This window comes from Homo sapiens, chromosome 2 (assembly GCF_000001405.40).
Source record: "Homo sapiens chromosome 2, GRCh38.p14 Primary Assembly".
Classification (NCBI taxonomy): domain Eukaryota; kingdom Metazoa; phylum Chordata; class Mammalia; order Primates; family Hominidae; genus Homo; species Homo sapiens.
Genome location: NC_000002.12, coordinates 112344467 through 112371782, shown reverse-complemented (window position 1 = coordinate 112371782; position 27316 = coordinate 112344467). Strand labels below are relative to the sequence as shown.

Sequence of the window (27316 nt, the reverse complement as noted above, 5' to 3'; positions counted from 1 at the left end):
TACCAAATTAAATCTTTATCCAAGAGGAATGAAAACCAGTATTCACACAAAAACCTATGCACAAACCTTGTGAATATATTAAAAACCAGTGAATTATGCACTTTAAAAAGGTGAATTATGTGGTATATGAATTATATCTCCAAAACATTTAATTAAAAACCTGTACACAATTATTCGTAGAAACTTTCTTTAAAATTGCTAAAAACGAGGAAGATCTCAGTTATCCTTCAACTGGCAAATGAATAAACAAACTGGTACAGCCGTGCAATTGAATACTGCTCAGCAATAAAAAAGAATGCACTGCCAGTTCAGCAACATGGGTAATTCTCAAATGCATTATGCCAGTTGACAGAGGTCAGACTCAAAATACTATGTACAGTGTGATTCTACTTATATGACACTGAAAAAAGCAGAACTATAAGGACAGAAAACAGGTTAGCGGTTGCCAAGGAGTGGGAGAAGCAGCCAGGGAGAACTTTGAGGAGATGAAAATGTGCCAGGCCTTGGTCGGTGGTGGTACGTAACTGTGCATTTGTCAAGACTCAGTGCTATATGCTGAAAAGGGCAGGTTTTACTATAAGTAAGTTGTACCTCAATAAACATGATTTTTAAATGATTAAAACTTTGGTTTTTGTTTGTTGTGGTTCAGTTTTAAGGTTTCCCATAAATCTATTGGTTTTAGATTCTAAGTTGTATATAAGCTTCTGTTTTAAAAGAATTTTTTTTAAAATCCTCTTATCGTCAACAATATTTAGTTGTGCTGGAAATTTTATTTTGGAATTGTTTAATAGAGAAAGACAATAAATAATGTTCAAGAACAGACATTGATTCATAACATCAAAGTATATTGTGAGAAGATGGTATTTCAGAATAGAGGAAGAATTTCTTATGTGCTGGTAAGATTGTTTGTAGATAATCATTTCTGCATAATTTTCATAGCTGGATTGCTTTAATAAAGCCATTTAAAGGTTAAGTTCTAGATTGCTTCATGTTGCTTATCAATGTTTTAAAGCTAAAATAGAAAATTAGCTGTTAAGTTGGCTCAACCGGAAATTCAGTATATCCTTTAAAAAGAGAAATTTAGTAAGCAGTGTGTCTAAAGAATGACATATGGTTGGGTACAGTGGCTCGTGACTGCAATCCCAACACTGTGAGGCTGAAGTGGGAGGATCACTTGAGCCCAGGAATTTGAGACCAGCCTGGAAAACAGTGAGACCTGCATCTCTACAAAAAAACAAAAAATTACCCAGGCATGGTGGTACACACCTTGTGGTCCCAGTTGCTTGGGAGGCTGAGGTGGGAGAATCACTTGAGCCTGGGAGATCAAGGCTGCATTGAAGTCTCATCACGCCACTGCACTCGAGCCTGGGTGACAGAGCAAGACCCTATCTCAAAAAAAAAAAAAAAAAAAAAAAAAAAAGAACCCCCCCCCCCACCAAAAAAGGCATGTGATCAGTAAAAAAGACATTATTTGCTTATATTGTAGAGTGGTTCTAAAATATAGATTTTACATTGAGAAATTTTAATACTCTCTTTTTTCTTTTTTTTTTCTTTGTTTTACTTTCTAAAGATGAGGAAGAAAATCCTTCCCGTTCTTCTGGATGAGCATCCTATCTTCGTAGTTGGTTTGGACTTCGATAGGTTGATGGAAGGAATACTTCTATTAACCAAATAGAATCTGTTTACAAAAATGGTTCGTGTGTGTTACCATTATTCTTTTGTCAAAAAGTGTGTATATGTGTTTGCATTTACATATATTTGTACATCTGTATGACAGATGTATTTTAAAAGTTTCAACTTGAAGTAAAAGTACAACAGCTTGAAGTGTTGATACCAGGCCACAGCCCTCTAACTCATGTGATCTCCCATGCATGCTGCCAGAATAAAACCACCAGGAATGAATTCACTCCCCACTTCTCTGGAACCTCAGGACCCGCCCATTTCTCGGCAGTACTGTGAATTTTGAAGTTAAACTAAATTTTGGTACCATACCAACTGGAATTTAGGCTTTAAAAATAATGTTTCAAGGCCAGGTGTGGTGATTCATGCCTGAAATCCCACTACTTTGGGAGGCTGAGGCTGGAGAATCGCTTGAGGCTAGTGAGCTGTGATTGTACCACTGCACTCCAGCTCGGGGAACAGAGCGAGACCTTGTCTCTAAAAATAATAATAGTAATAAAAATAACGTTTTATGACTATTTATTGCAAGGTCAGATTTACAGATTGTTATAAATTGTTGAGAAATTTTTGTGATTAGAATATGAAGGAAAAAGCTTTGTTGGTAAAAGTGACATGTTAAGGGGCTATGAAGTAAATATGCTGCAGTTAATTGTGCTAAGTTAAAATACAGTTTAGTTATTTGCTTTAAAATAAACTCTTCTTTTTTTCTTTAAAGTATACTACCTCAAAACTCATTATGTTGTCAGAGCCCTAGAGCTGGCTAGTGTAACACTGACTATGAGTAGGTGGGCCCACCACTTGAGTTGAGGTGATTTCATGGTGTCTTTCCAGGCTCTTGATAGGGTGTCACTGCATGCAAGCCATGAATCTGTTTTGAGAATCCTCTCCATTTTCCCAAATAAAAACCTATCCCAACAGTGACTATATCACTCAGCATTGGATCTAAATATAAAAGTGGTGCTTTCAGTGTTTTTGGCAGATAGTGTTCCATAACCTTTCCATCAGAAGGGATTTTAGACACCTTAGAGGTCCGTGCTACATCTTCACAGTTCCTCCGAATAACCTTAGGTGGTAGTGTTACTTGCCTTTGACACCTGTGCATATGTTTTAATGACTAGATCCAAACTGTGTTGTTCTTAAATCAAAAATTGGATAATTTTTAATATTTATGTATTAATCACACAGTGTGCTCTCTGAAGTTCTCTTAAGCCTTCAGTTTATACTCTTAATTTTCTTTCTGAGCTGGGGAACTGACTTTGCACTTTGGTTACACAGAACATTGGTTTCCAATTTAGTTTAACTGAAATTTGCTGCTGATATGTTGAGTTTGTTCTTTAAAAAATATCTCATATATCTCGTCTTTCCTCCTTAGAAGAACAGACCTAACTAGCGAATGTATGAATGAAAATGCATCTATTTCAGAGCCGACATGAAGAGTTTAGTTTTTTTACTTTATAAACTGTGAATATGAGTATGCCAGCTGCATTAGATGTAACTAATCATATTTAAATATATTTCACTTTGACTTTAGACCTTTTGAAGTCTGTATAAACTTGTTTTGAAATACAGTCTCCACTTACGAATGTCATAACAAAATACTTTTTTGCATGATAAAAAATTACTTTGATTACAAAAGGCATATTCTTTCATGGTTTCTGCAATGAGAGGAAGTGTAATGATTATTTTAATATTTCTATTAAAACTGTATATTTTTATGGCTGCTCTTTTATGTTACCCACTGTCTCTTTGGGGTTGTTAATTGGTTTCTGAAAGGGAACTTCAAACTCCTTTACTACTGGCCTTCCATGGTTGGTCCCTATTAGGTTGTTGTGAGAACGTCGACCAACTCTTTGATACCCGCCAGGTAGACCGTAGTACCTGCCATGTCTGACACCCTGCATCCAGCTAAAACCAGAAACAGCGCTGGGCCTCCCTGTGGACAAGACATTGATTTGACCAGAAGCAGATGTCTGGCTAAGGCTGCCAACCAAAGGGTGGCCTTAGATGAAGGGCTTTGTTCAGTTAGGGGCAGAGGTCATTAATTTTTTTTTTTTTTTTTGAGACAGAGTCTTGCTCTGTCGCCCAGGCGTGAGTGCAATGGCGCGATCTCGGCTCACTGCAAGCTCTGCCTCCCAGGTTCACGCCATTCTCCTGCCTCAGCCTCCTAAGTAGCTGGGACTACAGGCGCCGGCCACCATGCCCGGCTAATTTTTTGTATTTTTACTAGAGACAGGGTTTCACCGTGTTAGCCTGGATGGTCTCGATCTCCTGGAGGTAATTTATTTCTTTGGATGTTTGGACTAGGAGATGGGGAGAGGCAGAGCAGAAAGAGAAACACAGATGCCACAAGGAGGAGGAACAGAGCTAACCCTGGATAGGACTGGACACAGCAGCCAGACCAAGAGAGGCATCTAGTGAGAAGCAGCTCTTCAGCCCTGGGCCTGGTGCACACATCACTCCTTGGTTTCTAAGAACCAAATTTGGCCCAGCACAGTGGCTCATGCCTGTAATCCCAGCACCTTGGGAGGCCAAAGCGGGTAGATCATGAGGTCAAGAGATCAAGACCATCCTGGCCAACATGGTGAAACCCCGTCTCTACTAAAAACACACAAAAAATCAGCTGGGCATGGTGGTGTGCACCTGTAGTCCTAGCTACTTGGGAAGCTGAGGCAGGAGAATCACTTGAACCCAGGTGGCAGAGTCCAGTGAGCTGAGATCACACTACTGCACTCCAGCCTGGCGACAGAGTGAGACTCTGTCAAAAAAATAAAAGAAAGCCAAATTCATACAGTCCCTGAGGAGTGGGAACTGATGCACATCTCTTGTATACAATAAGCTATGCTTGTGCTCTGAACAGTGTAAGATTGAGAATTGTATTCCTTTAAAGAAAGTTCGGCAGAACTGTAACTGAATTACTAACAAGGCACTGAGAAGGCATACCGTACTTTGTATGGTATTTGGCGAATGGCATAACACATCAAAAAATTGGTTGTATCATATGATTAAATTGCAACGTGATGATTTCAACTTGGTGGAAGACTTCTGCTTCGTCTTGGTATGTGAAAATCCCCTTTGCTTCAAACTTAATACACACCAAGGAAAACAACCTGATACAAGTTTGCAAGTGTCTTTGAGCTAATGGCTTTTCGTGGGTATTAAAAAGCATTGGGTTATTTATGTATAATTACGTAGAAAGAAAATGTTTGTTCCATTCAAGATACGGTTACACAAAAAGTCATCTAGTTGTGACCTTCAAATTATTACTTATATACCTACAGAAAATTCCTATAAATAGGCTGGGCGCGATGGCTCACACCTGTCATCCCGGCACTTAGGGAGGCCAGGGTGGGCAGATCACCTGAGGTCAGGAGTCCAAGACCAGCCTGGCCAATATGGTGAAAACTTGTCTCTACGAAAAATACAAAAATTAGCCAGGCATGTTGGCCCATGCCTGTAGTCCCAGCTACTCAGCAGGCTGAGGTAGGAGAATCGCTTGAACTCGGGAGGGGAGGCTGCAGTGAGCCAAGATCACACACCACTGCACTCCAGCCTGGGCAACAAAGTGAGACCCCCATCTCAAATAAGGAAAGAAAATTCCTATGAAGAAACACTATACCTCTGAGTTTCAATAATAGAGATGATTAACCCAGTTTCCCTGCAAGGATGTGCTCACTGTGAACAGATGTAGTGGTTACCACTCCAGATGTCTGCCTAGCATTTGAGACAACAGTCTCTGTCACCCCTGCCTCTCTCTGGGAACTTCTGCCCCACCACCATACAGAGGGGCAGTAGGCCCAGCCATAATCAACTGAAACAGACACAGAGTTATGACCTGAGCCTAGGCAATTAGGTTTTCTCAGGAATATGGATCTGGGACTAAAGAACTCAGCATCTTCCTGTGACTGGAGTTGTAGCATGTAAGTACAGAAGCTTTGGAGTGCCCAGAAAGAGCAGAGAAAGCCAAGAGAGTGCCAGGTTTAAGTTGACATAAGAGGTCAACAAAATCGTGAAGTGAGTGTTCTGGGGACCTGAGAGTCAAGGGACTGGATTCTGTACAATGTCTCTGCATCATCATAGTAAACTTCCTACACATGCTTTGAAAGTAAATATCAGATAATTTGGAGCACAGTATAATGGTAAAGTATAAACTGTGAACTTACACAAGGACACCACAATTTCTGCCTCACTGACGAATAACTTGGGGCATGTTCTTGACTGCTCTGAGCCCCCATTTCTTTATCTGTAAAAAGGAAATAAATTACATAGTTGTGAGTTATTGGATGACATAATAAAACCCAGCACAGAGGGCTGGGCGCAGTGGCTCACACCTGTAATCCCAGCACTTTGGGAGGCCAAGGTGGGCGTATCACAAGGTCAGGAGATCGGGAGCATCCTGGCTAACACGGTGAAGCCCCGTCTCTACTAAAAATACAAAAAATCAGCCAGGCATGGTGGCAGGTGCCTGTAGTCCCAGCTACTTGGGAGGCTGAGGCAGAAGAATGGCGTGAACCCAGGAGGCGGAGCTTGCAGTGAGCCGAGATTGCGCCGCTGCACTCCAGCCTGGGCGACAGAGCAAGACCCCATCTCAACAAAAAAAACAAAAAAAAAAAAAACCCAGCACAGAGTAGGCATGCCAGCATTCTCTCACTTCTCAGCCTGCAAAAAGATTTACCAATTTACCTCATTTTCTTCTGTTCCTTGTTCTGACCTCAGTGCATGACCCACAGCACCAAGTGTTACTGTCGTTTATGAGTGAACAATTGTGTTAATAAGGAAATAAATTGAATGTTTTCCAGCACTTTGACCTTATTTTTTAAAACTTTGTACCTCCCAGAGCTGGGAAGAGATTCCAGATTTCCAGACTTAGTCCAGAGTCATGACTAATGCTGGACTTCGTCTATAGCTCTTATTGAAATGTCAGAAAACATTTTTTGCCCCAAAAACTATTAACTGATAAATTTATAGCATCAAACTGCATTTTTTAAAGGAGGCTTTTTGTTTTTTCTTTTTTGAGAGAGAGAGAGAGTCTTGCTCTGTCACCCAGGCTGGAGTGCCTTGGCATAGTCTCAGTTCTCTGCAATCTCTGCCTCCCGGTCTCAGGTGATTCTCCTGCCTCAGCCTCCCAAGTAGCTGGGACTACAGGTGTGCACCACCACATCTGGCTAATTTTTGTTTGTTTTTGGTAGAGACGAGGTTTTGCCATGTTACCTAGGCTGATCTTGAACTCCTGGACTCAAGTGATCCACCCACCTCGGCCTCCCAAAGTGCTGAGATTTCAGGTGTGAACCACCACACCTGGCCAAAAGAGACTTTTTTTTTTTTTTTGAGATGAGTGTCGCTCTGTCGCCAGGCTGGAGTACAGTGGCATGGTCTCAGCTCACTGCAACCTCCACCTCCTGGGTTCAAGCGATTCTCCTGCCTCAGCCTCCCGAGTAGCTGGGACTATAGGCACGCGCCACCACGTCCAGCTAATTTTTTGTATTTTTAGTACAGATGGAGTTTCACTGTGTTAGCCAGGATGGTCTCGATCTCCTGACCTCGTGATCTGCCCACCTTTGTCCCCCAAAGTGCTGGGATTACAGGCGTGAACCATCGCGCCCAGCCCATGCCCGGCTAATTTTTTTTTTTTTTTTTTTTTTGGATTTTAGTAGAGACAAGGTTTCACCATGTTGCCCAGGCTGGTCTTGAACTCCTGAGTGCAGGCAATCTGCCCACCTCACCCTCCCAAAGTGCTAGGATTACAGGTATTTGGTTTTTTGTTTGGTTTTCAAGCAACCTTTCTAAATTTTGCTATGCTCACTCTTTCTTCACATGTTGGTACTGGCTAGATACAGATTTTGCTTTCCTATTGGAGACTCTTTTGAGAGCTGGCTATCCCCTCTTGCTCCTTTTCTTTTTTCTCTTCCCTACTTTCAAGTTTCTTGCTCTTTTTCTTACCCCATAAGTTACCAGAAATTCATACCCCCTTGAGAGGGCTTTTTGTTTGAACTTCAGTCTTTAGTTTCATCAACTTTTCTAAGGAAATTGATCTGTTAATGAAAGTTGGCTTGCTTGACTTCAGAATATCTGTATTATTCAGTGATGTGTTTTTCTGGTTGCTTTGTTTGAGCACAGTGTAAATATCACCCATTGCATAGCTTTGGCAGTGACATAAATCTGGCAGCGTAAGATCGAGAAAAGCTAGAAGTCTCACCACAGATTGTATTTCAGTGAAAGGGATTCTTTTTAAGTGCTGATAAAACTAAAGAAAACCTATAAACATGGAAAACAATTATTAAACCCACCATATGCTCATACTGCTATTAAATGGTGTGACAGATTCTAGAAAGAGTTACCTTTTGGTAAGAGCACTGCTTGTTAACTATAGTTGATTGCTTTAGATGTCTAGTGTGTATACAAAAGCATGAATTTTATTCCTTATAACCAAAGTAGAAACCTACTCTGAGCAATTTGACAAAAGGTTTACATTATTTATTTTAGTGTAGTTTAAGATTACAGTAAGATACAATTCCCAAAGAGTGAAATATAAGGCTGGGCGTGGTGGATCACGCCTGTAATCCTAACACTTTGGGAGGCTGAGGCGGGTGGATCACCTGAGGTCAGGAGTTCGAGACCAGCCTGGCCAACATGACAAAACCCCGTATCTACTAAAAATACAACAATTAGCCAGACGTGGTGGTGCGCACCTGTAATCCCAACTACTAGGGAGGCTGAGGCAGGAGAATCACTTGAACCTGGTGGGGCGGAGGCTGGAGTGAGCTGAGATCATGCCATTGCACTCCAGCCTGGGCACACTCTCAAAAAAAAAAAAAGTGCAACATAGCTTTTCACAAAATATGGAACTGTGGTAGTGTAGAACAATGTCTCAATATACCTCCTACACTAAGTATAATAGTAAATATCTGTATTTGGTGGCATAATATGTTCTTAGTATAAACCAAAAACACATGCTGAGCATTGGACATTGTCCAATGTTTAATTCATATGATTCATTCTGAGTTTCTGACTGAGATCATTCTTTCAGACTATGTCTATTTGTCCTGGGACCCATAAAATATGCAGCCCTAACATGATTTCATTTTTGTTTCCTTTCCTGGAAAAGGAGAAATCATTCAGATCAGCTTTCATATTGCCTTATAGACGATGACTTCAAAATAGTTTGAAAGGGACTCCTTTGTTCTAGAACTGCTCTAACACAGTAGCCACTAGCCACATGTGGCTATTGAAAGATTGAAATGTGGTTATTCCAAATCAGGATGTACAGTAAATATAAAATACACACCAGATTTCAAAGGCTTACATGAAAAAAGTAATGTGAAATATCTCACTAGTAGTTTTTATAGTGATTACATGTTGAAATTTTAACATTGTGAACATATTAGTTTAAATAAAATGTATTGTGAAAATTAATTCCATGTTTCTATTTACTTTTGATAAAAGTACTACTAGAGGCTGGGTGTGGTGGCTCACTCCTGTAATCCCAGCACTTTGGGAGGCTGAGGTGGGAGGATCACGAGGTCAGGAGACCGAGACCATCCTGGCTAACACGGTGAAACCCCGTCTCTACTAAAAACACAGAAAATTAGCCAGGAGTGGTGGCAGGCGCCTGTAGTCCCAGCTACTAGGGAGGCTGAGGCAGGAGAATGGCGCGAACCTGGGAGGCGGAGCTTGCAGTGAGCCGAGATCGTGCCACTGCACTCCAGCCTGGGCTTCAGAGCGAGACTCCGTCTCAGAAAAAGAAACACTACTAGCACATTTTTAAATTACTTGTAGTGATCTCATTTGTACCACATTACATTTCAATCGTATACTGCTTTTCTAAAGAGTCACTGCTAAGCCCTGAAATTAACTCCAAATACCTCCCTGGAATACAGTGCCAAGGCAGGGGCTTCCTTGAACTTCAACCTCCAAAAGTAAGCAAGAATTGAGAAATATCTTCTGCTTTGAAAAATATTCACTCCCCAACCCTAATACATCAATTACATATTATTTGGGGGCTAACTAAGCTCCTGTTTTAAAATGTAAATTGAAGAAATTAGGCCAGAGTCATTCCCATCTTAGTGCCAATCATATAATCAGATAATTAGATTGCTCTTTCCCTAAAGCCTGTTTAGTTTTCTTGTTTGCTGGTTTTGTTGTTGTTGGGTTTTTTAATTTGTTTTTGTTGTTGTTGTTGTTGTTTTGAGATGGATACTCACTGTGTCACCCAGGCTAGAGTGCAGCGGCATGATCTCTGCTCACTGCAACCTCCAACTCCTGGGTTCAAGTGATTCTCCTGCCTCAGCCTCCTGAGTAGCTGGGACTATAGGTGCATGCCACCACGCCCGTCTAATTTTTTTGTTGTTTTGTTTTTTTTTTGTTGTTTTTTTTTGTTTGTTTTGAGACAGTCTCGCTGTTTCCCAGGCTGGAGTGCAGTGGCACGATCTCGGCTCACTGCAACCTCCACTTCCGAGGTTCAAGCAATTCTCCTGCCTCAGCCTCCCAAGTGGCTGGGACTACAGGTGCATGCCATTATGCCTGGCTAATTTTTTGTATTTTTAGCAGAGATGGGGTTTCGCCATGTTGGCCAAACTGGCCTCAAACTTCTGGCCTCAGGTGATCCAGCCGTCTCAGATCAAAGTGCTGGGATTCCAGGCATGAGCCACCACTCACAGCTCGCTAAGGCCTTTTGCCAAGACAAATTAGCTCTTAGAGAACCACAGGATTCCTCTTGTAATGTATTACAAACTAAAGTCTTACCTGCTCTTGAAGAGTAGAAAACATGAAAAAGTTCTGTGTTAGCCCTTAGAATAATTAAAAATTCATAAGCTCTGAAATAAATACAGGTAATAAAGGTAATAAAATTATTGCCTATGACAAAACAAAAGTTTAAATTGGCGTTTGTAAACTCTGCACGAAAGCCAGGTTTCTCACTACTAGAAAAAGAAAAAAAGTTATAAATAAGCCAAGAATTCCAGAATGAATCCTGTGGTGCCAAATATATGTTAACTACAAGGAATAACAGTGACCTTACACTGGAAACACCTTAACCATGGGCCAAGGTTAAAGATATAACAGCTTTCTCACACCCCTTGCACAGCTACCCCCAATGTTAACATAACTGTTAATAAATTATCAAAACTAAGAAATTAGTCTTGGTATAGTATCACTAACTACACTCCAGACCTCAGTCAGGTTTTCCCAGTCTTTCCTTCAGTGTCCTTCCTCTGTTTCAGGATTCAATCCATGATCCTTGACACTTGGTACTTTGTCAGATGTCCTGCTATATGGGTTTGTTTGATGTTTTCCCATGATTAGGGATAGACACTGCAAGACTCAGAGCTACTTTACAAAGAAGCCTCTAGGGAGCTCCCCAGAGAAGACAGGGGAGACAACACAGGGACACTAAAGGAAATTTTAGCCTCTGACATCCATGACTATATAGCAAAGAGTAAACAAAGCCTAACTCCTAGCCAGAGAAATACAAAATCTCATACTAAAGCCTTATTTAACTCAGTTCCTTTCACCCAGTACATCATATACAGCCTCAAACAAAAAATTACAAAGCATACTAAAAGACAAGAAACCCCACACTTTGAAGAGACAGAGCAAGCATCAGAACCAGACTCAGATATGAAAGAAATATTGGAAGTGTCCAAGCAGGAATTTAAAATAACTAAGATTAACATGCTAGGGGCTCTAATGTAAAAACAGCATAACATGCAAGAACAGATGGGTAATGTAAGCAAAGAGATAAAAACACTAAGAAGAAATAAAAATGAAATACTAGAAATAAAAAACACCATAACAGAAATGAAGAATGCCTTTGACGGGTTCATCAAAAGAATGGATATGGCCAATGAAAGAATCAGTGAGCTCGAAGAGATGTCAATAGACACTTCAAAAGCTGACACACAGTGAGAAAAAAGAATGAAAAAGAAAAAACAGAACAAGAGTCAAGAACTGCGAGACAATTACAGAAGGTGGAACACGGAGACTTTTTGGAAATACCAGAAAGAGAAGAAAAAGAGAAAGAAAGCCGGGCGTGGTGGCTTACGCCTATAATCCCAGCACTTTGGGAGGCTGAGGCGGGCAGATCACAAGGTCAGGAGATCGAGACCATCCTGGCTAACACGGTGAAACCCTTTCTCTACTAAAAATACAAAAAATTAGCAGGGGGTGGTGGCAGGCGCCTGTAGTCCCAGCTACTCGGGAGACTGAGGCAGGAGAATGGCATGAATCTGGGAGGAGGAGCTTGCAGTGAGCTGAGATCATGCCACTGCACTCCAGCCTGGGCAACAGAGCAAGACTCTGTCTCAAAAAAAAAAAAAAAAGAGAGAGAAAGAAACAGAAGAAACATTTGAAGCAACAGTGACTGAAAATTTCCCCAAATTAATGATAGATAAAGCTATGGTCTGAATGTTTGTGTCTCCTCAAAAGTTATATTGAAACTTAATCCTCAATATGATAGTACTGAGGTGGGGCTTTTGGGAGTCAATCAGGTTATGAGGGCTCTATCCTCAGGACAGAGATTAGTGCACTTATGAAAGAAGCCCCAGGGAATTAGCTAGCCCCTGACACCATGTGAGGACAAAGCCAGAATGTGTCATATATGAGGAAGCAGGGCCTCACCAGACACTGCTAGTGCCTTGGTCTTGGACATCACAGCCCCTAGAACTGTAAGAAATAAATTTCTGTTGTTTATAAACTCTCCAGTTTATGATATTTTTGTCACAGCAGCCCAAATGAACTAAGGTAGACATAAAGGAACAGATCCAGGAAGCTCAAAAAACACCATATAGGATAAATAACAAAAATGCTACATCAAGGTATATCTTTTTTTTTTTTCTAAGGTGGAGTTCCACTCTTGTTGCCCAGGCTAGAGTGCAATGGTGCAATCTCAGCTCACTGCAGCCTCTGCCTCCTGGGTTCAAGTGATTATCCTGCCTCAGCCTCCTGAGTAGCTGGGATTACAGGCCCCCGCCACTAAGCCCAGCTAATTTTTTGTATTTTTAGTAGAGATGGGGTTTCACCATGTTGGCCAGGCTGGTCTCGAACTCCTGGCCTCAGGTGATCTGCCTGCCTTGGCCTCCCAAAGTGCTGGGATTACAGGCATGAGCCACTGGGCCTGCCTAAGTATATCTTATCTAGACACAGATCTCACTCCTTTCACAAAAACTAACTCAAAATGGATCATAGACCTAAATGTAACATGCAACACTACAGAATTCCTAGAAGATAACATAGGAGAAAACTCAGGTGACCTTGGATTTGGTGATGACTTTTTAGATATAACATCAAAAACATGACTCATAAAAGAAAAAATTGGTAAGTTGGACTTTACTAAAATTAAATTTTTCTGCTCACAAAGGACACTGTTAAGAGAATGAAAAGGTAAGCCATTAAATGGGAAAAAAATCTTTGCAAAAAAATAGTTCTTTATATATGATATATAATAATATATATCATATATAATATTATATATATATATATATATATTCTGAAAAAGGCAAAACCATAGAAACAGTAAGAAGTTCAGTGGTTGCCAGGAGTTAGGAGTTGGGGGTGGGGAGGGTGGATAAATGGTGGAGAACAGCTGATTTTTAGGGTAGTGAAACTATTCTGTTTGATTCTGTAATGATGAATACATGTCATTATACATTTGTCAAAACCCATAGACTATACAACACCAAGAATGAACTCTGATGTAATCCACAAAGGACTATTGTTAATAAAGTTTTAATAATGGCTCATCAATTATAACAAATGTACTATACTAATGCAAGATGTTAATAATAAGGGAAACGGGGGTGGGAGGGTTTGGGGTAAGAGGGCATATGGGAATTCTCTTCTGTTTGCTCACTTTTCTGATAAGCTGAAATTGCTCAAACAATAAAATGTATTATTAATAATTTTCAAAAATTCACTCGATGGGCTACATAGCAGAATGCAGATGACAATGATAGGAGTTTGTGAACTTGATGACAGATTAGAAATGGTAGACCTAAATCCCACCAAATCAATAATTACATTAAATGTAAATGGTCTAAATATACCAACTGTAATGCAGAGATTGTCAGACTACATTAAACAGACAAGACCCGAGTACATGTTATTTATACGAAAATCACTTTCAATATAAAGACTTAATTGATTAAAAGAATGGGCTGGGCTTGGTGGATCACACCTGTAATCCCAGCACTTTGGGAGGCCGAGGCAGGCAGATCACGAGGTCAGGAGACCGAGATCATCCTGGCTAACACGGTGAAACCCCGTCGCTACTAAAAATACAAAAAATTAGCCAGGCATAATGGCACGCACCTGTAGTCCCAGCTACTTGGGAGGCTGAGGCAGGAGAATCACTTGAACCTCGGAGGTGGAGGTTGCACTGAGCTGAGATCGTGCCACTGCACTCCAGCCTGGGTGACAGAGTGAGACTTCATATCAAAAATATATATAGAGAAAAATAAAATTAAAAGTGGAAAAATGCAAATACTAATCAAAGGAAATTAGGCTGGGTGTGGTGGCTTACACCTGTAATTCTAGCACTTTGGGAGGCCAAGGCAGGAAGATTTCTTGAGGCTAGGAGTTCCAGACCAGCCTGGGCAACAGAATGAGGTCCCTTCTCTACAAATGAAAAAAAAAAGTTTAAATAGCCCAGCATGGTGGCATGCATGGTATAATGTACCCTAGCTACTTGGGAGGCTGAGGTGGGAGGATCACTTGAGCTCAGTAGTTTGAGGTTACAGCAAGCTATGATCACACCACTGCACTCCAGCCTGGGCAACAGAATGAGACCCTGTATCTAAAAAAACAAGCAAAAGAAAAAGGAAATGAGAGTGTCTATATTAATATCAAAGTAGACTTCAAACAAAGATGATTACCATGAATAAAGAAGGATATTACATAATTATTAAAGGGTCAATTCAACAAGAAGACATAACAATCATAAATGTGTAAATATAATTCCATAGTAAAAGGAATCAGGAGGCTTGAGAGATGCTTATTTCAGGTCTGGGGTAAGGAATGTACAAAGTGAACCAGGACTAATGAAGTTATATTAAAACTCCAAAAGACGAAAAGAGTCATTTAAAAGACTAATGGAGTCATATGAAAAGGTCCCAGGAGCCAACAGAAAGGACTCCCCTTGGCCAAATCTGGAACATTTTGACAGTTTGAGCATCAATAAGAGTAATGAACCATAATTGACTAGAAGACATTTAAAGCATAAAAACTCTTGAGTCCATAATCATACTCAATAAAGATGAAAACAAACCATCTTATTCATCACTGATGGGGGTGGCTGTTATTCAAGTTCTTATGCTAAAACTTGGTAATTAAAGGTAAATAAAGAATAATGTATTCTTTCTCTGCAGTGGAACTAAGTTTTAGATACAAAATAACCCCAGTGGATGAGGGAAAGTTCTTTAGAGGTAAGAATGACAGTTAATAAATGTAGAAAAAAGAAGATAATTTAATCACCATTTTGCAACTTCTAATTAAGTAACTGAAGTGAGAAAGAATCATTACTGCATGCTAAAACCATTAAGGGAAAGATGTCAAAGATCTCAGTGTTTCAACCCATAGAATACTTTCCAGTGGCAAGAAGATAAATGGATAGTTAACCCTATAATCTTAGAATCTCTAATAGTGGGTACACTAGGTATTATGTGAAGAAAATGGCATCAGGCTGGGCGTGGTGGCTCATGCCTGTAATCCCAGTACTTTGGGAGGCAGAGGTGGGTGGATCACCTAAGGTCAGGAGTTCGAGACCAGCCTGGCCAATATGGTGAAACCCCATCTCTACTAAAAATACAAAAACTTTCTGGGCGTGGTGGCGAGCGCCTGTAATCCCAGCTACGTGGGAGGCTGAGGCAGGAGAATCACTTGAACCCAGGAGGCAGAGGTTGCAGTGAACCGAGATCGTGCCACTGCACTCCAGCCTGGGTGACGAGAGTGAAACTGCATAAGAAAGAAAAGAAAAGAAAAAGAAAGAAAGAAAGAAAGAAAGAAAGAAAGAAAATGGTATCAATGGTGAAGAATTGTTGTCCAACATGTTTAATGTAATTGTGTTCAAGCCTAAAATTCTGCTTTACTGGAAATAAAAGAGAATACAGTTATAGGACACCATGAGGAAACAATCAGATAAATACAGAAAGTGAGAACATTGACCCAACTTCTGTAAGTCAACTGGCTAGGTCTCTCCAATAAGTTCAAAGTCAAGAAAAAAAAAGGGGGGGCCAGGTACTACACTTGATTTTTAAAAGCTTAGAGACAAACAATGAAATGCAACCTATGCTCCTTAATTAGAACCCTATTTAAACAAACCAGCTCTCAAAGACATTTTTTGGGGTCAAAAAGGGAAAGGTGAATATAGTCTGGTTATTAGACAACATTTAGAAAGCACTGTTACGTGTGTTAGGTGTGAAAATTGTGTGATTATATTGTGAAAGAATTCATTCTTTAAAAAAGATGCATTCTAAAGTATTTAGGGGTGAAAAGTTTAAAGTAATTTACTTCAAACTACAGTGAAAAAAATTTAAACACTGCAAAATATTAACTGCTAAATCTAGATGGTGGCTTTATAATATTCACAGATGAGCATATTTCCTTTAAATTTCTATGTGCTTAAAATTTTTCATGTTAAGTAATATATGTATTACATTGGGATACACATAACTATGATTGACAGAAAATAACACTAAAAGTGCAAGATCACTGATTCTATCTAGGAAGTAGGATTATAGGGACTTCAATTTTCAAGTTAGCTTTTTTTTTTTTTTGAGACGGAGTCTTGCTCTATCGCCCAGGCTAGAGTGCACTGGCGCAATCTCAGCTCCCTGCAAGCTCCGCCTCCCGGGTTCACACCATTCTCCTGCCTCAGCTGGGACTACAGGCACCACCGCCATACCCGGCTAATTTTTTTTGTATTTTTAGTAGACACAGGGCTTCACTGTGTTAGCCAGGATGGTCTCGATCTCCTGACCTCGTGATCTGCCCGCCTCGGCCTCCCAAAGTGCTGGGATTACAGGGTGTGAGTCACCGCACCTGGCCCAGTATTTGTCCTTTTTATGATTTGCTTCTTTCACTTAGTGTAACGTTCTCAAGGTTGATCCATTTTGCAGCATAAGTCAGAATTTCCTTCCTTTTTTTTTTTTTTTTTTTTTTTGAGATGGAGTCTTGCTGTTGTTGCTCAGACTGGACTGCAATGGCACGATCTTGGCTCACTGCAACCTCCAGCTACTGGGTTCAAGTGATTCTCCTGCCTCAGCCTCCGGAGTAGCTGGGACTATAGGCGCCCGCCACCATGCCCAGCTAATTTTTGTATTTTCAGTAGAGATGGGGTTTTACCATGTTGGCCAGGCTGGTCTCGAACTCCTGACCTCAGGTGATCTGCCTGCCTTGGCCTCCCAAAGTGCTGGTGTTACAGGCATGAGCCACCACGCCCAGCCAGAATTTCCTTTTTAAGGGTGAATAGATAAATATTCAATTGTATGAATGTACCACATTTTATTTATCCATTTATCCATTTCTGGACATTTGGGTGGCTTCCACCTTTCATCTATTGTGAATAATGCTACTATGAATGTGCACATGCAAATATCTCTTCAAGACCGTGCTTTCACTTCTTTGGGATATAGATCCAGAAGTGGAATTGCTAGATCACATGGCAACTGTATCTTGAATTTTTTAAACAACTGCCTTACTGCTTTCCACAGGAGCTGCACCATTTTACATTCCCTCCAACAGTGCACAAGGGTTCCAATTTCTCCACATCCTTGCTAACATTATTTTCTGTTTTTTTGATAGTAGCCATCTGAAAGGGTAGGAGGTATATCTCACCATGGTTTTGATTTGCATTTCCCTAATGATTAGTGATGTTGAGCATTTTTTCATATACTTATTGGCTATTCTTATTTAAGAGCTGCCGAGTATTCCTGGTAGAAACCGTAATTTACTTAAACAATGTCCTGGATAAATAAACTTTCTCAGTTCTTAAAAACAAAACTGCAATGACTCTCCTTGTACATTCGTCTGTTTTCAATTTTTTTTTTTTTTTTTTTTGAGACGGAGTCTCACTCTGTCACCCAGGCTGGAGTGCAGTGGCACGATCTCGGCTTAGGGGAGGAGACCACTCCTCATGTTGTCTTATGCCCAATTTCTGCCTCCAAAGAAGAAAAGGTAAAAACTAAAAGGCAGAAATGAAATCCACAAGCAGACAGCCCGGCCCCACACCCTAGGCCTGGTAGTTAAAGATCGACCCCTGACCTAATCGGTTATGTTATCTATAGATTACAGACACTGTATAGTAAAGCACTGTGAAAATTCCTATCCTGTATTGTTCCGATCTAATTACCAGTGCATGCAGCCCCCAGTTACATACCCCCTGCTTGCTCAATTGATCACGACCCTCTCACGCACACCCCCTTAAGAGTTGTGAGCCCTTAAAAAAGACAAGAATTGCTCACTCGGGGAGCTTGGCCCTTAAGAAAGGAGTCTTGCCTATGCCCCCGGCTGAATAAGCCCCTTCCTTCTTTAACTCGGTGTCTGAGGAGTTTTGTCTGCGGCTGGTCCTGCTACATTTCTCGGTTCCCTGACCGGGAAGCGAGGTGATTGGCAGATGGTCGAGGCAGCTCCTTAGGCGGCTTAAGCCTGCCCTGTGGAACATCCCTGCGGGGGACTCCGACCAGCCCGAGCGGATCCTGAGAGCGCTCCCGGGTAGGCACTTGCCCCGGTGGGATGCCTCACCAGAGCAGTGTGTGGCAGGCCCCCATGGAGGATCAACGCAGTGGCTGAACACTGGGAAGGAACAGGCACTTGGAGTCTGGACATCTAAAACTTGTTAAGACTAGTCTTTGAAACTTGCGCACTCCGTTTGAGTGGAAGCGTGGCCTGATCACCCATGGCATGCCTTTATCGGCACTTTGGTTTTGGTTTTGACTTGGTTTGAATTGCTTGACAGGATTGGTCTTAGGAACTTGCCTACTCCATTTGAGTGGAAGCATGGCCTGATCACCCACGGTGTGCCCGTACCGGCACTTTGGTTTTTGTTATTGACTTGATTTGGATTGCTTGATACTTTGGTTTTGGTTTTGACCTGGCTTGGATTTCTGGATACTCTGATTTTAGTTTTGATTTTGGTTTGGTGCAAACTGCAAAAGTGTGTGTGTGCCCTTTTTACCCGTTCTTTGTTTTATGGTGTGTGTGTGGTGTAAGCGTGGTGTTTTGTCTCGAAGAAGCATAGGTCAGGCACCAATAAGCCCACCCTACTAGGAACTAAGTTGAAAATTTTCAAAAAAGAATTTAAAAGAGACTATGGAGTACTGTGACACCAGGAAAACTTAAAACTTTGTGTAAGATAGACTGGCCAGCATTAGAGGTAGGTTGGCCATTAGAAGGAAGCCTGGACAAGTAAGTCCCTTGTTTCAAAGGTATGGCACAAGACAACCTGTAAGCCTGGGAACCCAGACCAGTTCCCGTACATAGACACTTGGTTACAGCTAGTTTTAGACCCCATGCCCCCAACACACAGTGGTTGAAAGAACATCAGCATAAGCAGCTGGCAAGACCAGCAGAGAGAGATAAAGGAAAGAGACAGAGAGGAAAAGAGGCAAAGAGAAAGAGGAAGAGACAGAGAGGAAGAGACAGACAAAGAGGAAGTCAAGGAGAGAGAGAGAGAAAGAGAGAGGCAGAGAGAGAGAGAGAGAAAGAGAGAAAAAGAGACCGAGTCAAAAAGAAAGTCAAAGAGAGAGAGACAAAGTCAGAGAGAGAAAGAAAGAGAGATATACAAGCAGTTAAAAAAAAAAAAAGGTGTACCCTATCTCTTTAAAAGCCAAGGTAAATTTAAAACCTATAATTGATAATTGAAGGTATTCTCTGTAACCCTATAACACTCCAATGCCACTTTGTTGTCAGTGTAAACAAGGGCGTATCCCAAAAGGGCCTTCCTATCAAAAATCCTTAACCCAGTAACCCGCGGATGGCCCAAATGCATTCAATCTGTAGCGGCAACTGCGTTGTTAACAACAACAAAAGAAAAAGTAAAAAAAATAACTTTTAGAGGAAAGGTCATTGTGAGCACACCTCACCAGTTCAAAAGTATCCTAAGGAAAAAAAAAAAGAAAAAAAAGGCGGGGCAGAATTTATATGAAAAGAGTATTATATGGTAAATTCTTGTCCTGAAATAAATTAATTGGTTGTTTAAAGAAAGAAATATTTGTAATAAGTCAGAAAGTTAAGCCATGTTGAAGAATTGTCTGTGAAAGTCATGAAAGAGAAAAAGTTATAAAAAAGAATTTATGTAAAAAATGTTGTACAATTTAAAAGTAACTAGGCCTCCTGAATGTAAAACTATTTAAAAAAAAAACAGTTTATGTGCAAGGTGTATAAGAAAAGTATACTATACCTTTGGTAAAAGGATTATAAGGGGGCATAAGAATGTACATTCTTACCTACATTAAAAAGTTAAAAAAAAAAACTATTGTTTTGAAAGTTTAAGCAAGTTTTAAAACATTAATTGTAAAGAAAATTATGTGTGTAAACATATTAGCTACAGTTAAAGAAGTATCATTGAGTTTTTCTGTGAACTGGACATTAAAGTAAAAGCATAATAGGTTTTTCTTAAAGCACCAACCTGCTCTTTAGCAAAAGTTATAAAAGGTTAAAAAGAGTCTATAAAATCTTACTTTATGGTCAAACATTAAAAATTAGATAAATATGTCTACAAGCTTTTATTAAAATTACATTTAATATTAATAACACACTAATATAAAGATAAAATTTAGCTTATCTGATATAAAAATCATACAAGAAGCATTGTTAAATGTAAAATGGTATTTGGCTTTTTTGGTTTAAAAACTAATAAAAACAGGTGCTAAAGGAAATTTCTCAGTAAAAAGGCACTAAGGACTATAAAGTCCACTGCCAAAGTCCCCACATTTGAAACAAAAGGTCAATTTCTTAAAAATTATATACTTGGTTTATCTTTCACTTTCCTTTCTCTCAAAAACTAAAAGTCTTTTAGCACATGTACGACCCCTAGAATTTCTGGTAAACCAGCACCACCAGCCTGAAGATCATGTTCTCATCAAAAGGTGGAAAGAAGAAAAACTCGAGCCAGCCTGGGAAGGACCCTACCTTGTGCTGCTAACCACCAAGACTGCTATTCGTACAGCAAAAAAAAAAAAAAAAAAAAAAAAAAAAAAAGGATGGCCTCATCATCACACCCGAGTCAAGAAAGCGCCACCCCCTCCAGAGTTGTGGGCCATAGTCCCAGGGGAAAACCCTAACAAACTAAAGCTAAGAAAAATTTAACTCTTTTTATCTAGTCTATTACTCTTCCTTCTTTCCTCGTTCTATTGCTGACCATCCAGTTATTAACAACCAAGTCAATTTCACCTCAAACTATTGCATTTAATGCTTGCCTTTTTATACCTTGTGGGGACTTGCCAAGTCAAAGACAGCTTTCTACTTCAGAAAAGTACTTCTGTCCCGCCTGACTCTCCTCAGACTGGGCATTAGTAAACTAGGACCATTTAATCCAGGGAGATGTCTATAAAGACCGCAGTGTCAACCAGGAGTCTTGCCCCCCCATGTAGACCTTTCATGCCATAGTTGGTCCAACGTTCTGTGGACCAGTAAAGAGCAAGGATGGACTGCCCCAACAGGTTTTTGCAATTTCCTAAAACCATACATTCATTTTACTAGAGGATCATAGAAGTTAAAGACTTAAAACAAACTTTAGCAATTAAGACAAGACACCAAGATGCAAATGCCTGGTTAAAAGGGATCAAATATTCCACCTGCATGTTAAACAAAAATAATTGTTATGCTTGTGCACATGGCAGGCCAGAGGCCCAGATTGTCCCCTTTCCACTAAAGTGGTCATCCAGTTGACCAGGTGTAGGCTGCATGGTAGCCCTTTTCCAGGATTCTACAGCCTGAAGTAATAAGTTGTGCCAAGCTCTCTCTGCTATATCCCAAAGTCCGGCACCCTGTGGGTCAGCCCTTGAAGGCCATCCAGCCTCCGTCTCCCAACACTGAGTTCACTTTGTGTCTCTCATGACAAGTAGGAAACTTAGTGTTCCTTGGAGACCTGAAAGGATGCAGTGAGCTTAAGAATTTTCAAGAGCTTATCAATCACTCAGCCCTTGTTCACCCCCGAGCGGATGTGTGGTAGTATTGTGGTGGACCTTTAGTAGGCACTCTGCCGAATAACTGGAGTGGCACTTGTATTTTAGTCCAGTTGACTATCCCTTTCACCCTGGCATTTCATCAACCAGAAAGAAAAAAAAATAAGACATCGTAAAGGGAGAGAAGTCCCTTATAGGTCTTTTGACTCTCATGTCTATTTACATGCAATTGGAGTCCTACGAGGAATACCAGATCAATTTAAAGCTTGAAACCAAATAGCTGCAGGATTTGAGTCAATATTTTGGTAGGTGACAGTTAATAAAAATGTAGATTAGATAAACTACATCTATTACAACCAACAGCAACGAGCTTTTCATGAGTTAAAAGAAAAACTCATGTCGGCCCCAGCCCAGGGGCTACCTGACCTGACAAAACCCTTTACACCCTATGTGTCAGAAAGAGAAAAAATGGCAGTTAGAGTTTTAACCCAGACTGTGGGGCCCTGGCCAAGGCCAGTGGCCTATCTCTCAAAACAACTAGACAGGGTTTCCAAAGGCTGGCCCCCAGGTCTAAGGGCCCTAGCAGAAATGGCCCTGTTAGCACAAATAGCAGATAAACTAACCCTTAGGCAAAACCTGAATATAAAGGCCCCCATGCTGTGGTAACTTTAATGACTACCAAAGGACATCATTAGTTCACAAATGCTAGATTAACCTATGTGAAAATTCCCACATAACCACTGAAGTTCGCAACACCCTAAGCCCCACCACCTTGCTCCCGGTATCAGAGAGCCCAGTTGAACATAACCGTATAGACGTGTTAGACTCAGTTTATTCTAGCAGGCCCAACCTCCGAGACCATCCTTAAACATCAGTAGACTGTGAACGGTACGTGGACAGGAGCAGCTTCACCAACCGCTGCAAAGTGACTCTGAAGAAGACGACAAACCCTGCTCCAGTCACACCCGGAAGCTGACTGGTCCACGCATGGCCAAAGCATGAGAAAACTCATCGCGGGACTCATTTTCCTTAAAATTTAGACTTTTACAGTAAGGACTTCAACTGACCTTCCTCAGACCGAGGACTATTCCCAGTGTATACAACAAGTCACTGAGGTAGGACAAAAAGTTGCTACGGTCCTATTATTTTGTGGTTATTATAAGTGTACTGGAACTCTAAAAAGAACTTGTTTGTATAATGTTATTCTATACAAGGTATGTAGCCCAGGAAATGACCAACCTGATGTGTGTTATGACCCAACTCAGCCTCCCATGACCACAATTTTTAAAATAAGATTAAGGACTGAGGACTGGTGGGGGCTCATAAACGATACGAGTAAAGTGTTAGCTAAAACAGAAGAAAAAGGGGTGCCCAAACAAGTCACCTTAAAAGTTAATGTCTGCGCTGTCATTAATAGTAATAAGTTAGGAATAAGGCATGGTTGTCTTAATTAGAAAAGAGGCTATATGGCAGAAAATAAGTACATCTGTCATAAATTAGGACTGTGTGGAAATAAATATAAATACTGGTCTTGTGTCATTTAGGCCACTTAGAAAAAAAAAATGAAAAAGATCCAGTCCACCTTCAGAAAGGAAAAAATGGCCCTTCCTGTACTAAGGGACAATGTAACCCCTTAGAGCTAGTAATAACCAATCCCCGTGATCCTCGCAGGAAAAAAGAGGAGAGTGTGACCTTAAGAATCTACGGGGCCAGACTGGATCCTCAAGTAAACATCTTAGTTTGAGGAGAAGTTTATAAATGCTCTCCTAAGCCAGTGTTTTAAACTTTCTTTTTTTTTTTTTTTTTGAGACGGAGTCTCGCTGTGTCTCCCAGGTTGGAGTGCAGTGGCGTGATCTCGGCTCACTGCAAGCTCCACCTCCCAGGTTCATGCCATTCTCCTGCCTCAGCCTCCCAAGTAGCTGGGACTACAGGCGCCCGCCACCACACCCGGCTAATTTTTTGTATTTTTAGTAGAAACGGGGTTTCACCGTGTTAGCCAAGATGGTCTCGATCTCCTGACCTCGTGATCTGCCCGTCTCGGCCTCCCAAAGTGCTAGGATTACAGGCGTGAGCCACCGCGCCCGGCCGTGTTTTAAACTTTCTATGATGAACTAAATGTGCCAGTATCAGAAATTCCAGGAAAAACAAGAAATTTGTTTTTGCAATTAGCCGAGCATGTAGCCTAGTCTCTCAATGTCACTTCATGTTATGTACGTGGAGAAACTGTAATGGGAGATCAATGGCCACAGGAAGCCCAAGAATTAGTACCTACAGACCAAGTTCCTGATGAATTCCCAGCTCAAAAGAATCACCCTGATAATTTCTAGGTCCTAAAAGCCTCAATTATTGGACAATATTGCATAGCTAGAGAAGGAAGAGAATTCACTCACCCCGTAGGATGACTTAGTTATCTGAGACAGAAAGTGTATAATGGTACCACAAAAACAGTCACTTGGTGGAGTTCAAATCACACAGAGAGAAATCCATTTAGTAAATTCCCAAAGTTGCAAACTGTGTGGACCCACCCAGAGTCCCACCGGGACTGGACAGCCCCCACTAGATTGTACTGGATATGTAGGCATAGAGCTTACGCCAAATTACCCGACCAGCAGGCAGGTAGTTGTGTTACTGGCACTATTAAACCATCTTTCTTCTTACTGCCCATAAAAACAGGCGAAATCCTAGGCTTCCCTGTCTATGCTTCCCACGAAAAGAGAAACATGGCTATAAGAAATTGAAAACATGATAAATGGCCCCCTAAGAGAATCATGCAATATTATAGGCCTGCTACTTAGGCACAAGACGGCTCATGAGGATACCAGACCAGATGGTGGTGGTGGTGGTGATGGTGGTGTTGGTGATGGTGGTGGTGGTGGTGGTGATGGTGGTGTTAGTGATGGTGGTGGTGGTGATGGTGGTGGTGGTGATGGTGGTAGTGTTGGTGATGTTGGTGGTAATGGTGGTGGTGATGGTGGTGGTGGTGGTGATGGTGGTAGTGTTGGTGATGGTGGTGGTAATGGTGATGGTGATGGTGGTGATGTTGGTGATGGTGGTGATGGTAGTAATGGTGGTGGTGGTGGTGATGGTGATGGTGTTGCTGATGGTGGTGATGGTGGTGTTGCTGGTGTTGCTGGTGGTGGTGGTGATGGTGATGGTGGTGGTGTGATGGTGGTGCGATGGTGATGGTGGTGGTGATGGTGGTGATGGTGGCAGTGGTGATGGTGGTGATGGTGGTGGTGATGGTGGTGATGGTGGCAGTGGTGGTGGTGATGGTGGTGGTGATGGTGGTGATGGTGGCAGTGGTGGTGGTGGTGATGGTGTGATGTTGGTGGTGATGGTGGTGGTGGTGGTGATGGTGATGGTGGTGATGGTGGTGGTGATGGTGATGGTGGTGATGGTAGTAATGGTGGTGGTGGTGGTGATGGTGATGGTGTTGCTGATGGTGGTGATGGTGGTGTTGCTGGTGTTGCTGGTGGTGGTGGTGGTGATGGTGATGGTGGTGGTGATGGTGGTGATGGTGGCGGTGGTGATGGTGGTGATGGTGGTGGTGGTGATGGTGGTGATGGTGGCAGTGGTGATGGTGGTGATGGTGGTGATGGTGGTGGTGGTGATGGTGGTGATGGTGGCAGTGGTGATGGTGGTGATGGTGGTGGTGATGGTGGTGATGGTGGCAGTGGTGGTGGTGGTGATGGTGGTGATGGTGGTGGTGGTGATGGTGGTGGTGTGATGGTGGTGGTGATGGTGATGTTGGTGGTGATGGTGGTGGTGGTGGTGGTGGTGGTAGTCTGGAGTGCAGGAGCAGGAGGTGGTAGTGGCCTGAGTCTGGTGACTGGCAGCCAGGGGTCTTGAGGACCCTGGACAGGTGGTCATCCAGAATCGTCTGCCTGTCTTCCTCGTGGCTGCCAGGGGACAGGGAGGGCGAGGGAGTGCTGGGTGGGCACCCCCTCCCACTAGCTTGGACCTTTCCTTCTCTTTATCCTGCATGGGAAGGCAGCTCAAATACACATTTTAGTATTCAACAAAAACTGCAGAGGACCCTTACATAGACGTCTGGAGTTCTGTGCCTGCCAGCGCTCTCCTCGGCAGTGCTCCCACGCAGCTGCCCTTGCTCCTCTCATCTCCACCTCTGCTCCATTTAGCAAGATTGCTGCGCAGCTGCGCTCTGCCCGGGATGCCCTGCTCTGTGGTCAAGAATGGAACTACAGGGAAAAAGCTGGGGCGATTGCAGAGCTTACCTGATTAGTTTTCTTTTTTTAATAGATCCGTATCTTTCATGGCCTATTATCCAATGCCTAACAGTAACGTCGTTTATTTCCTCCAGCTTTCTAGTTGTTTGAGGGAAGAGGAGGAATCCAATGCCTGTTACTGTATCGCACCCAGAAGCGGCAGTCCTGGTCAGTGGTTTTAACAGGAGGATACAGACCTGTGTATAGGTGAAGTTAGTGCAGTACAGAGACGGAACAGAAAGGGGACGCCTGGAAAAGCAAATTCTTAGGCGAAGGAGGTGCCAAATGGATTCGAAAACGGGCGGTGGTGTCTGGCACGGTGGCTCACGCCTGTGATCCTAGCACTTTGGGAGGCCGAGGTGGGCGGATCCCTGAGCCCAGGAGTTAGAGACTAACCTGGGCAACTGGCAAAACCCTGTCTCTACAAAATACCAAAATTAGCCAGGCGTTGGTGGCTTGCACCTGTAGTCCCAGTTACTCGAGAGGCTGAGGCAGGAGAATCGCTTGAGCCCAGGAGGTGGAGTTTGCAGTGAGTCGAGATCATGCCATTGCACTCCAGCCTGAGCAACCGAGATCCGGTTTCAAAAAAAAAGTCGAGGTGAGGGGGAGGTAGGACAGACACCTCTTTCTCTGAAATAAAGAGAAGAAAGGTAAAAACTGGTTAAAAATTGTAAAAAACCTAGATAAGTCTGAAGATTAGAAAAGAAAAAGAGGACTGGGCAGGCAGTTCTTCCTCACCCTCTCCGTCCTGGTCGTTTTAAGGGTTAGATAAAATAGCACTCAGACTGTAATACCCAGAAAACTTGTGTTAATATATTAAGGAGAAGGAAAACATTTTTCTTCTGTAGCATTATTATGAGACTTAGCAGCCTCCTGAGATGGTTTACACTTAATTCACATAATGAGTATTAGGGTGTTTCTCTTGACTTCCTGCATATAACTCTGAACTGAACTGGTACTTTTTTACTAACTATCTGAACCCAAAAAGCAACTAGCACCAATTCTAAAACCAGACTAAACCCTGGTACATCTGGTATCAGGTACACCTGGTACAGCTGGTATATCAGTACAACACACACATGCACGTTTAAACAACAAATGCATACATAGACCAGACAAATACATATTTATAATTTTGATTTTGGAAGGATAAATTTTATCTTTCAAACTAAGGATATTTGACTGAGGAGATAAACAAATCCCATAGATAGGAACTTGATATAATGTTAGTAACTTAAAATTTCCAAACTAGTCTTACAGCAATTATGAAACTGAATATAATCCTTGGTGAGGTCACCC

At 41.7% G+C, this 27316-nt stretch overlaps 1 protein-coding gene, 1 long non-coding RNA gene and 1 pseudogene across 4 annotated transcripts in view; 1 reads left to right on the top strand and 2 right to left on the bottom strand.

Moving 5' to 3' along the window:
* Positions 1 to 3414, top strand: part of RGPD8 (RANBP2 like and GRIP domain containing 8) — a 65277-nt gene extending 61863 nt beyond the window's left edge. For all 3 annotated transcript variants that reach the window (NM_001164463.1, XM_024453101.2, XM_047445676.1), the window contains one exon: positions 1571 to 3414. In NM_001164463.1, the coding sequence (NP_001157935.1) occupies positions 1571 to 1605 (35 nt within the window). In that variant the 3' untranslated portion in view covers positions 1606 to 3414. The remainder of the gene's footprint in view (positions 1 to 1570) is intronic.
* Positions 3207 to 26397, bottom strand: LOC124906067 (uncharacterized). The gene is made up of 2 exons (XR_007087191.1): positions 26027 to 26397; positions 3207 to 5920 (listed from the first exon to the last, which is right to left on the bottom strand). It is a non-coding gene; the product is annotated as an uncharacterized LOC124906067 (long non-coding RNA).
* Positions 24878 to 25738, bottom strand: LOC100418696 (axin 2 pseudogene; annotated as a pseudogene).
* Positions 26398 to 27316: the final 919 nt, after the last annotated feature.